This window comes from Homo sapiens, chromosome 5 (assembly GCF_000001405.40).
Source record: "Homo sapiens chromosome 5, GRCh38.p14 Primary Assembly".
Classification (NCBI taxonomy): domain Eukaryota; kingdom Metazoa; phylum Chordata; class Mammalia; order Primates; family Hominidae; genus Homo; species Homo sapiens.
Window position 1 is genome coordinate 69,761,063 of NC_000005.10, and position 13,049 is coordinate 69,774,111.

General features: G+C 36.1%; 1 annotated feature.

The window, feature by feature from the left end:
- Positions 11,742–12,243: an enhancer, noted in NCBI's record as "NANOG hESC enhancer chr5:69068631-69069132 (GRCh37/hg19 assembly coordinates)". NCBI's record gives its function as "activates a minimal SCP1, AML or CMV promoter by ChIP-STARR-seq in primed H9 embryonic stem cells {active_cell/tissue: H9 hESC(primed)}" and the evidence as "EXISTENCE:reporter gene assay evidence [ECO:0000049][PMID:30033119]".

Consider the following 13,049-nt stretch of genomic DNA (forward strand, 5'->3'; position numbering starts at 1 on the left):
CTGTTTTAGCCAGGATGGTCTCGATCTCCTGACCTCGTGATCCGCCCGCCTCGGCCTCCCAAAGCGCTGGGATTACAGGCGTGAGCCACCGCGCCCGGCCTTAACTAAATCTTTTGATTAAATCAGCTTTATAAAAAAAGTAAACGTAAACACATAAGTCTTTGTATAAGCACCCCTACATTTTTAAAAGTATATTTGCCTTTTCATAAACTCAGTTGAGTAGTGGTAACATTCATCATCACAACTTTTTAGAGGCAATGAAATTGATGTCATTTGAGGTCTTCATCTCATATTTATCTTTTATTTTCTTATTTTGTCATGTTTAGCAAAGGATAGTAAAAGTAGAGGATCATTCAACCCAGAAATACAGGGAAACTGATCCTTGTAAATAGCACCCTTTATAGACTAATGGATATTTTAAGAGCAAGATGTGCTAGAAAGGAAAATAAGGCAATCTCTTAATGCTGTGCCTTTTCTTCCATTACATTTTTAGATTATATATTATCCCTTGTTTATTGCTGTAGCTGGGGAAAATATTTTTATTGAAATAGATTGTTTTTTGAAGTTTGCTATATTAGGTAAAAATAAATACCAAACTTCTCTGTCTTCAGTTTAATAGAAAAAAAAAATCCCTTGTTACTCTGTTTCTGCCTTACTGTTAGTAGAAAGATTTATGATTAAGTAATTTTAGTAGGACAACATTAAGAACAAAAACATGAACCAAAATACTTTTTAAAATAAATATACACATTTTTACTATATATAGACACATATATAAAAGTATATATACATATATGTATATATGTGACTTCAATAACAGGAAAATAGATTTTCCAGATTAACAATCTAAACATCTCATCCATAACAAAAGGTTAGGCTCTATACCAATGCTTGAATGAAAACTGTAATATCATCCATTTAAAAAAATGCCAACACATGCATAATTTTAGGCTGTAAAAATGAAAATATTTCAGAATTGATTAACAAATGGTGGAAGTTAAAGTTGTCTCTTCCCGACCTGCACTTTGTTTTCTGTCTCTTGCCTTTTCTCACATTTTATTTTTCCTTCCTATCTCAACAATATACCCCACCTGCAGTGTGCCCAATGTGGACACATACCTGCTTTTTTCAGGCACTGTTTTGGACAACATTTCCCTACTGAGCATTAAATCACTTTTTCTTAAATACGTACTAAAGATTTCCATGGCTGAAAAGCTAGTTCCACATACATTAATAATCCTTGAAGAATTAAATCAGATACAACCTCTACATCAGCACAATATTTCAAGGTGGTAAGGGAGTGCTACTGCTGGGTTTGTCTTCACTTAATAACTTTATTAATGATGTGGATGAGTGAACAAATATGAAAAGAAAATTTATAGGTATTACATACGTAGATTCTGCAGAAACAAATAGGCTGGAAGGTAATGACTGTAGAATGACCTAGAGAGGTTAAAAAAAGAAAATAGTAGTCCAATATTATTCCACTTTTAAGTAAATGAGACCATTAAGCTCTTTAAAATAACCAGTAAATAAAAACTCAAAGCAATGATAGCTACATCAAAAAGTGAGGGAAGAGGGGAAATTATATGTTGCAATGTTACAGAGTACATTAAAGCATTCAGTATATTTCCTGAAAATTTCATAAGCACAGTTCTTAATGTTTATTCATAAATAAACAAAACCAAACCAAAAGCCATAGTTCATTTGTTTCTAACTAAGAGTACAAATTATTTATGCGGAAAAGTACATATAAGCTCACATAAATAACACGAATAATGTTTTCATTGTGAAGATATTCATAACGTTCAAATGACAAGGTCTTAGGAACTCTGCACCTTCATTAATTTTAATCAATATTTAACAATCAAGATTGTTTTCAATAAATCATGATCTAATAATGAAAGGGGGAAACTATTTGTTTTAACTTTCATTTCAGTTTTACCCTTTACTCACAAGTTGAAATTCATTCTCACTCTTTGCAAACTATTTTGAAACACTTCCAGGTAAAATTCATATAAATATTTTATTTTTCCTAATTTTTGGAAAAATTTTAGACTATTACAATCTGAGTTAATAGCCTAGTTCCTTTGTTGATCCAGTGTAAATAAATATTTCTCTTTTCTTGCTGTATTAAAAAACCCACAGTCTCTATAGCCAAGTCTATATCTATATCGATATCTATCTGTATCTGTATCTATCTATGTGTATCTCTATCGATGTATGCATACACAAATAATATCTGTGGAAGAATTTTTTTTCATGTAGTGTAATATCCACAGCTCTTCTACTTTAACCATAACTCAAGTTAATAACATTTTATTGTCTTTTGTTAGTTTTACCTGGAAAAGAAAGCACATCATATACAATATTATAAAATAGAAATAAAACTAAATATAGCGTTTTAGAAGGTAACAAAGTTTTATGTTTAAGGATATTAAATAAAATCTATTTCTTCCAGTATATTTTTTCACAATCTGTCTTAAATGGAATCTTCAGATATCTTAACAAGTTGACTACTAGATTTTGTAGTGTATTCCAATCAGATATCTATCTGAGGCCACTCTTTTTTTTAATAATCTAGGCTTCTGTAGACAATGTGGAAACATTTTTAAAATGATGACGCCCTCCTTTTCCTTCGTAGCTAAATTAGTACACAAAATTCTAAATATTTCCTTAGTTTTAATAATAATAAAGCAATATAAGATTCACCCTCTGTATTCAATTCTTTGTTACCAATTCTGCTACAATGAGAATTTTTGAAATTCTTAGTTATAACCTTTATTTTTGATAATTGCATTTAAAATGCAATGATAAAGCAAATAATTAAAATGCTAGGAATAAAATTGTCCTTTATTAGTTTATCATAAAGTTCCATAAATTTCAGCTCTCCTTGATTTCTCACTATTCTAGTTCATCAATTTTGTAATTAATCATTAAACATTATTCTTTCTCTATATTAAAAATATTAGCAATTAAAAAATCCCTATTTAATATTATATTCATTGTTTTAGTTTGATGCTTTTTTTTTTTAGTGATATGTACAGAAGACAAAAAAATGATGTGCAGCCTTTGTGTTCCATTTATTGTTGCGTAAAATAAAATTTCATCAATCTTGGATAAAAATTCTTAGGCCTATGATTATATTTGAAGGAAACACTAACTTCTGACATGATTATTTAGAACACACATTTTCTTAACTTGTCTTCCATTTTAGTGGAGCTATAAATAGCTTTGGGAAATTTTTCTGCTTTGCTGTTAATTTAACTCAGTAGATTTATTGAAATTTTAAGACACCACGTTACGCAAGATTTAGGGTATGTGACTACTCTTTCCTCCTGTGTGGAGGTCGACATTGCCACAGTCTAATATCATAGTTCCCCTAAGTGGTCCCCTCCCAGAAGTGAGTTGCAAGTTCCTGCTGACTTTCAGAATTATTTCTCCATGTTTATGTCATTTTGATGCAAGAGAGGTCAATACACAGGTATGTCATCAAAATAATATTTAGACTATGTCATTCCCACAAAAAACAACTTATATGCCATGTTTTACTCACTACCAAAGTCTTGTTGAATACTACTTGTTTCATTCCTCTAGCCAGGAGACAACCTGGCAGGTATACTGCCTGAGCACCAAGAAGTTATCATATAATTTGCGTTTCACTGACCTCTCTTACCTTGTCAAATTACCCACAATAATTTTGGTAAAGTTGCATCTAACTTGGTATGGACTAAAAATACTTGCGTCGCCCCCAAAATTTGTATGTTAAAACCCTAATTCCACTGAGATGATATTTGGAAACAGGGCCTTTGGGAAATAATTAGGTCATGAGTCTCTCTCTCTCTTTCTCTCTCTCTCTCTCTCTCTCTCTCTCTGTCTGGTCTCTCTCTCTGTCTCTTTATGAGGACATGACAAGGAATGGAGGTTTTACCTGTAACCATTGACTGGCACCTTTATCTTGGACTCTCAGCCTCCAGAACTCCGAGAAGTAAATTTCTATTGTTTAAACCAGTCAGTGTATGTTGTTTTTGTTGTTGTTATAGCAGCTTGAATTAAGACACAATTTTCCTAAAACTTAAAAATGTCGGATTGGTGGATAAAATTGTATTTCATTGTGCTTTTTTCTTCAAGCCTTATACCTCTGACTCCAAACTCATAGTAACCAGTGTAAGACATGGTAGAATCTTTCCACTAGTGCTTGGGACACTATTTATAGTATCTACCCAATCTAATTTTAATGAAAAAGTTGAAGGTTGGTATAAAAAAATGTTTATCATCTAGGAGTTCCAGGCTCAATTCAACATACTTGTGATGGTCTCATGTAGTAGCAGTGACAGTCAACTACAAATGGTGCCTGAACAGGGACATTTCAGAGACTATCAGGGACATACAGAGACCTGAAAGGACCTGGAGGGACCTGAAGAGGTCTGCAGGGATAAACAGAGATAAGTAGAGGTAAGTAGAGAAAAGTAAGTAGAGATAAGTAAGTAGAGAAAAGTAGAGATAGGTAGGGAAAGACGGGGACTTGCAGGAACTTGCAGGAACTAACAGGTACCATAGGGACAGACAGAGACAGATAGGAATAGATAAAGACTAGCAATATAAGGTCAGTGCCCTGAAGAGGTACTGGTCTGCGTCCTAAAGAGGTACAAAAGTAGAGACTAGCAAAGACTAGGAGAGATTTGGAGGAACAGACAGGGACAGATAGGGACAGATAGGGTCCTATAGGACTAGAGCGAGGAAGGTCTGCTGGAACAGAAAAAAACTAAAACCAACTAGATGAACGAGAAAGCCCATTACAACTCTGTTGGCAGCGACATAAGGTTAGTGCTCTAAAAAGGTACCGGTCAGTGCCCTAGAGGTACAAAGAATGGGAAGTTTTTAAAACAGGGAAACGAGGAAGAATTTGGCTATTTCTTTTCTCTTTTTTGTTTGTTTGGAGTTTTGGTATGTACCATCTTTTTGTTATTTAGAATTTTTTGCCCCACCTACAGTGCCTATCGAAAATGGTGAACAGAAGAGGGAGAATGAAAATTGCCTTGTATCGTCTTCTTTGGTGGCTACAGAAAGGCTAACTTTAGCTTTGGCTTTCATGGATTGTAAACGTGCACTGGCACCTGTGAGATGTGCAGAGGACTTGGGAGGCTTTCTCAGAGCTTGTCAAGATGTGGGAACTGAGCTTCATTGCTCTGCAGTATTGACTCAGGCAATAGCAAATTTGGTGGCTGACAGATCTAAAAGAAGCCAAGGGTCAAGCCCTAAAGTGGGAAAGTGTCATAAGTGTAGAAAACTTGGACGTTTCAAAAGAGAATGCCGTCAGACCTCTGTGAACAAGAGATCTTGTAACATAGTCCCCCTCTTAACAGAAAAAAAATGCCGGACTTTGCCCTCGATGCAATAAAGGAAATCATTGGGCTAATCAACACCACTCAAAATTTCATCAAAACGGCACCCCCCTGTTGGGAAGCAAGAAGGGGGCCTGGACCCGGGCACCTCAAACTATGAGGGCGTTCCCTGTCCAGGCCACAACTCCGTTTCAGGGATGGGTTTCCAGAGGCACATGGATTCCCTCTCCCCAGGAACACCTGGAAACGCAGGATTAGATCTCCCAGAGAACCAATTACATTAAATGAAAGAAACAAACTCACTAAGATTCACATTGGTATTTGGGGATCTTTGCCAACAAGATACATGGGATTGATTTTGGTAAAAGCTGTCTTAACTTACAGGCCCAGGAGTTGTTGATTTTGATTGTGAAGGAGAAATTCAGGTAGTGGTAATGTCACAAGATCTTTGAGTTTTTGAACTGGGACAATACGTTGCTCAATTTTCGCTTCTTCCCTGTAAATTGTACCCTTCTCCACATAAGAAGAAGCGAGGTGGTCAGGGATTTGGAAGTGCAACTAGGAGAGAGATTTATCTATCACCACCCATAGCATCTAGTGGACCCACCTGTACAGTGCAAATTGAAGGTTTAAGGATTGCTTTTTGCTATACTGTTTTACGAGAAGGATAAGCCTCGATTTGCTTTCTCTGTGCCGTGTGTTAATCAGAAAGAGCCTGCTTCTTGTTCTCAGTGGAAAGTTTTACCCCACGGCAATTAACCAAAGAGGCAGAAGCTGAGTTACAAATGTTTCAGTAATGGCTTGCCTCCCGGCTACAGCAAAAAAAAATAAAAAATAAATAAAAAAGAAAACACTTTTGATTCTGTTTGGTAGATTTACTAACGTGGGGACGAGGGTATACTTACGTCTTTGCAGAAGATGAACAAACCGAGTGGGTGCTCCCAAGGTGTGTACGACCGTTGAACAGGAGACTGGAGGGACCCATGGATCCCAACCATGGACCTTGTTCCCCCAGTATGAACCATGAACCAGTTGAATCTGAATGCAAAGATGGAATGAGGACCACTAGAAGCAGGGAGCTCTCTTCTTCCCCATGCTAGCCTTTCCTTAAAACAGTTTCTTTTGTTTTTTGTTACCATTTCTATGTTCGTCTCTTCATTCAGTCTAGTAATGACGGTCTCAAGTAGTAACCGTGGCAGTCAGCCACACTTAAATCTTAATGCTTTTGAATTCTAGAAGGAACTCAAAAAGAGACAAACAAGTCAGTCATAGTAGTAATACATGGAGAATGAATTGTGAAATCTAAGAGACTGAATATCATGTCAAGCATAAGCTTTTTCAAAGCAATTAAACTGGGCTTTTGATGACATTACTTAGACTTTCCAGACAAAATGTGTAACAATACAGCTAATTTTAATAAAATGACTTTGAAATCCCCAAACTCAAATATAATCTCATGAAGTAATTGTTTGTGATAACACCTTAATATGTTTTATACCATCATTATGAAAAACAGTGCAAGAGAAAGGAGAAAAAATTCTTTATTGTGAGTTAAAAACTTTGAAACCTAAGTCAATCATTTTTATTGTTTCAAGAAATATTTCCCCACGGCTACTTTAGTAGCAAAATCAAAGTCAGGAGAGCCCAGGCTTCTGTAAACAAAGTTTAATTGTATCCCCTCCCCCTTTCTTCTCTGTCTCATAATTTTCTCAGTACTTTTTAAGGAGCGAGAGGCATCCCCATGAATGACACTGTTATAGGTTCTAAGGCAGAGGATGTGATGATGATGATCTTTGGGAAACGGTGAGGTGAATGTTGTCCACGAAGCTGCTTTCTAGTAGGGTGTCTGTGGGAAACTATACCCTTTCTGTGGGGTCTTCTGAATGTAGCTAATACTATTTTTGTTTGGGCTGGAAGTTTTTTATTATTATTGTTTTTACACTTTAAGTTCTAGAGTACATGTGCATAACGTGCAGGTTTGTTACATATGTATATATGTGCCGTGTTGGTTTGCTGCACCCATTAACTCATCATTTACATTAGGTATTTCCTCTAATGCTATCCCTCCCCCATCCCTCCACCCTACGACAGGCCCCTGTGTGTGATGTTCCCCGCCCTGTGTCCAAGTGTTCTCATTGTTCAATTCCCACCTGTGAGTGAGAACATGCGGTGTTTGGTTTTCTGTCCTTGTGATATTTTGCTGAGAATGCTGGTTTCCAGCTTCATCCAAGTCACTACAAAGGACATGAGCTCATCCTTTTTTATGGCTGCATAGTATTCCGTGGTATACATGTGCCAGATTTTCTTAATCCAGGCTATCCTTGACGGACATTTGGGTTGGTTCCAAGTCTTTGCTATTGTGAATAGTGCCTCAATAAACATATATGTGCATGTGTCTTTATAGTAGCATGATTTATAATCCTTTGGGTATATACCCAGTAATGGGATGGCTGGGTCAAATGGTATTTCTAGTTCTAGATCCTTGAGGAATCGTCACACTGTCTTCCACAATGTTTGAACTAGTTTACACTCCCACCAACAGTGTAAAAGTGTTCCTATTTCTCCACATCCTCTCCAGCACCTGTTGTTTCCTGACTTTTTAATGATCGCCATTCTAACTGGTGTGAGATGCTATCTCATTGTAGTTTTGATTTGCATTTCTCTGATGACCAGAGATGATGAGCCCTGTTAAGTTCTATCCTCTCCATATGTCCATGGGGCTGTTGGAAATATTCTTTTTCTGGGCTTCATGCTGTGCCCAGAGCATTTCCTTTTTCCTTCTCCTTTTTAAGGCAAGGATGCATCTGTTTTCATAAGGTTTGTGATAAAACAACACTCAAGTTTTGCAAGTTACATGATTGTCATCATCATCGCACTAATTTTTTGTGAAATATGCATTTTAATTACTTCCAAGAGGGTTTATTTCTAATGAAAAAAATTAAACAATAAATAATTTTAGACTTACCCCATGCAAGAAATGACAAATTCACTGAAGCAAACATGTTTAGGCTACACTGTATGCAATCTACAAATTGCCTGCTCAGTCTCAGTTTCTTGCATATATTTCTCATACATCTAAATGTTAATTTCCACACTTCTGTCTCTCTGAATCCCTGGCAAATGGCAATGGCTAGTGACTTTGCATTCACCTATCAGAAAAACATGAATCCGGACACACTTCCGGGAGCGTGGGACGTGGTAGGAATTTACTGGATAATAGGAACTGATATGTTATTTTGAGAGTGCTAAAATTCTCCCAGTGAATGTAACTTTGCCTATATTTTATATAACTTATTGGTTTTGGTTTGATAATTAAAAATATCAAAATTATCCTGGGGCAGGAGCCAAGGATGGTATTATACAGTGAGAAGTGAGTCCCACATGTCAGTCTTGTCATTTTCTTCCTCAGATAAAGTGCAGAATTTTGTCATCAGTAATATGAAAGAGAGATTTTACAGAAAAATTGCCAATTTTTGTCCATGAAGATGAGGGCAATATGCTAAGTATCAACGGACTAAAAGATGGCATATATTTTTTAGTGGGACATCCATGCAAGACTGCATTTCTTACCTGTTGACTATTACAGTAAATAGAAAATAATTATTTTAATTAAGCGACTACAATTTAGGGCATTTGTTGTAGAGATTTACAAATGTTTCACATTGCTTGACTTCAGGGGGCGCCATTTTTACATCATCCATTTCTAATAGCATGGCCAAGAGTATACTCCAAGTAACAAATGAGGTATAGCATATGAGACAAAGTAGAAACACTTAAAGGGTTAAAGAAATTTTCACCCGTATCTCTATGATGCAAAGTAAAGCAAAAGACAAAGAAACAAGCAAAAAAGAACAAGTGGTCGCCAAGCTGGACTGCAGTGATAAAACCATGGCTCACTGCAAACTCCGCTTTCTGAGCTCAGGCAATCCTCCCACCTCAGCCTCATGAGTAGCTGGGACCACAGGTGCCCACCACCACTCCTGGCTAATTTTTGGGTTTTTAGTAGAGACAGATTTTTGCCACATTGGCCGGGTGGGTCCCAAACTCCTGAGCTCAAGCAATCCACCCACTTCGGCCTCCCAAAGTGTTGAGATTACAGGCATAAGCCACCACACCCGGCCGCTGCATTTTTTTTTAATGGGAAATAACAAGCATATTCATTACATATAAAATGATATATTTAGAAATTTTGTAGGCTTTATAAATTCTGTTGGATAATGGAAAATTTTTTATTGTATTTTTTGTGTATGAGAACATAATGTTATAAAGTAAAATGTACATAGAGGGAAATGGGATTGTGAGGATAGTAACCATAGGTGAGGAGATGGATGAAAGAAAGGTCTTACACTGCTGTAAGGAGCTGTTACTATATCTTCTTCATATTTTTATAAAACATATCTTATTAGAAGACTTAAGTTACTTATTTTTTTCTTGTATGTATATATTCACCTCCATTTTGAAGGCTATTAGTCTGGGAAACCTACAAGAACATTGCCGTAGGGAAGCTCAAGTATGTTAACAACAACAAAAATAGTTCTGTGAATGCCTTTACATAATATAAGGTCTACATATTCTCTCTAGATCTGTGCGCCGTAAGACTGGATTTTGAAAAGCTGAGGCATAGACTGATAGCTCTTTACCACACTTGTTTTTTCTTCTTTCTGGATACATAGCTTGGCTATATTTCCATGCAACTGTGTCCCGGTTAATGTGTACCACTTTTAGAGGGTGGTACATATAAATGTTTCTTCCAGTTCTTTCAACATGTGTCATTTGAAAAAGGAGAACTCTGAAGCCCTCTAGGAAGTTGGAGCTACAATACTGGAGGCCAGTTTCCTGAATTACTCCCTGGTAAAAGCCACCCAGACAAGAAATGCCTTTATTTGAATGTTATTAATGAGAAACACATTTTAAACTTTCAGCCACTTTAACTTTGAGGATTGTTTGTTAAAACAGCTGGTGTTACCCAAACTGTTATAGGAGTCTACTAAATATCATTTCATTTTTTTCCCTTCTCAAACTCAGAATGAATTGGGAGATAGCCGTGGGCATTAAAACTGTTTCAAGAAGTGCAACTTAGCGTTCAGGGCTGACCTCATGAGCTTCCAGAGACATCAGAGTAAGTGACCCTTATTCTAGTTTCGAAGCTCTGTTCTAGTTCTAAGCATGCAAATAAATTTTAAGCAGGATTTCTTAGCCTGCAGGAGCTGAGGATGATTAATAAGTCCTGCTGTTATGCATAAATGCACTGACCTATACTGTGCCCTTCAGTCAAATTGTATATTGTTTAATCGTGATAAATGAAGTGCACCAGGCACAGATAAGCTAGTCCCTGGAGTATGTCCAGATACACCTGAAAGAAGAATGACTCAAGCTGGGTGTGTAAAGCTACACTTTGGAGGATAGAGCTTCCCACAGGTGCAATGGAACTCTCACTTCTCACTTGCTCAGAAATTATGATCTGCAGTGTGAGTCTCCCCTGGTAAGGAAACGTGTCCAGCTCCTTGAAACATGTTCTAGAGAACAGCATTCATTACCCTCCCATGAACTTAAACATGCTTCTTGGCTCCTGTGCATTTTAGGTAAGTAAGCTTTGATTTCCCCAGGTGGTGTCGGTGTCTAGTCTTTTCATAAACTTGCACTTACTATTAACATGGAGAGGACATCCACAGGCCGAGATACATTGCCATGTCTTGCATTAAAAGCAAATGAACCTGAAGTTTTTTTGTAAACAACTTACGAAGTTTCATTTGATTTGATTTGATTTTTAATAATTCCCTGAATTGCTGTGATAATTAGAGTAGTGAATTCATTTCTGGTATGTTTTAAAAGTAATTCAAGGAAAATAATTTTGCAGAATCCTGATTTAGATAATATGAAGAGTGAATAGGAAAATGATGAAATTGTTGCTGCTTTTTACAGAGGCTTAGAATCATGGAAATCATTTGCTTTCAGGTATAAAAGGGAATAATTTCATTTTCTACTTTTTACTTTAAATTTCTGTTATCTATGTCTACATGCTTCTGTCCATTTCTTCATAGTTTGTTTTTTAAATAATATGCTTCTACCATTCTCTGAAAGCTATTTTAATTTTTCAGCTTGAATATAAATTGGTTGATACTGGCTGCAAATTATTTTTGGTATTCTAATTTGTCTATTTTTCTTTTTCTTGAAATGGAATAAATAAGCTTCACACACACACACACACACACACACACACACACACACACACACACAAAAACCCTAAACAAACAAAAAAAATCACACAGCACCAGCAAACTACTAGGATTTACTGTAGGATAAAAGCTCTACATGGCCCTGCATACAAACTTTCTGCATACTTCTGCAAATTTTTATGCATTACTCAATCCATTAAAAATCACCTTGGAAGAAACTGCAAACACAATAGAAACTAAATGAGATAGTCACAGAGAACAACAAAAATAGTAATTTAAGCTCCCATACAACATCAAGTGTGTTCAGTCTATTTTTGGTTCTTCGGGTTCTCTTTAAAATTGAATTGAGTTTGTATATGCATATGTATGTAGGAGTGGAGGATGGAATTAATTATCCCAAACATCCTACACTCACTCCTCTAATATTTCTTTTGTTAACATGCAAATCTGTTCTCTTCATTACGGTGATACTGCATTTACATTACAACACAATTAGAGATCATTAACTTTCTCCTTTATAATCAGCCATTTTCACAGGCCTTTGATATACAAGCACCTATAATATATTCTTACTCATCTCACACTTTCATTTACCAAAGTGTCAAAACAACATTTTTACATCATTGATATTTGTTTTAGTTTCTGCAAGCTGGCTGTTAGAAGATGATTACTTCTCTTAAATTACCTCTTACCCTCATCTTGCTATCTTTTTAAAAGGAAAGAAAAAGCACTATAAAAATCAGACACTTTGGGTTCTGAACCTTTTATTTTGTGTGAAAAGATACTTATTTATGTATGCTAAATCACACTGATGCGGAAGACAAACTGGCTCTTCGTTATTTTTTTTTTGGCACTTTATAGAGGAAATGTGTGGAGAACAGATCTTTCCTAAGGTATTATATTCATGTGCCTTAAAGATTAAGAATACTCAATGCGCCAAGAAGTGCTATATACCAGAAAAGTTTGTATCAATTAATGTATCTAAATTAAGTTAAAGTTTCTTTCAATTTAATGTGCTTGCAGATGTAAAATTGCATGTTTAAGTTTTGCAGTTATGTACTAAATCTGGTGCTACACTTCTAATGTCTAAGGTTTTATTCAATTTCAATTTATTTGTTTTATAGTTTGCCAGAATGTGCTTATGAAAGGCACTCTCAGTCATAAAAATAAATTGTAAGCAGACTGGCACGTAACTATTTTTTTAAATAATAAACTTTCTGATTTTAGAGACTTGTATTCTTTTATAGGTCCTGGTTCTCTTTCACTCTCTGACCTATAAGAACCCATACAGCGTGCATTGCTGTGTATGGAAAAGCAGTAAAGGGAAGTACAGCCACCTTTTAGGTCCCATGAATAGCAAAATCTCTTTGACTAATCTCTTGTTTCAGGGTACGTCCACTCCTTGTTTAAAGAATGTAACTGGCTGGGCTTGGTGGCTCACTCCTGTAATCCCAGCACTTTGGGAAGCCAAGGTGGGCAGATTACAAGGTCAGGAGTTTAAGACCAGCCTGGCCAATATGGTGAAACC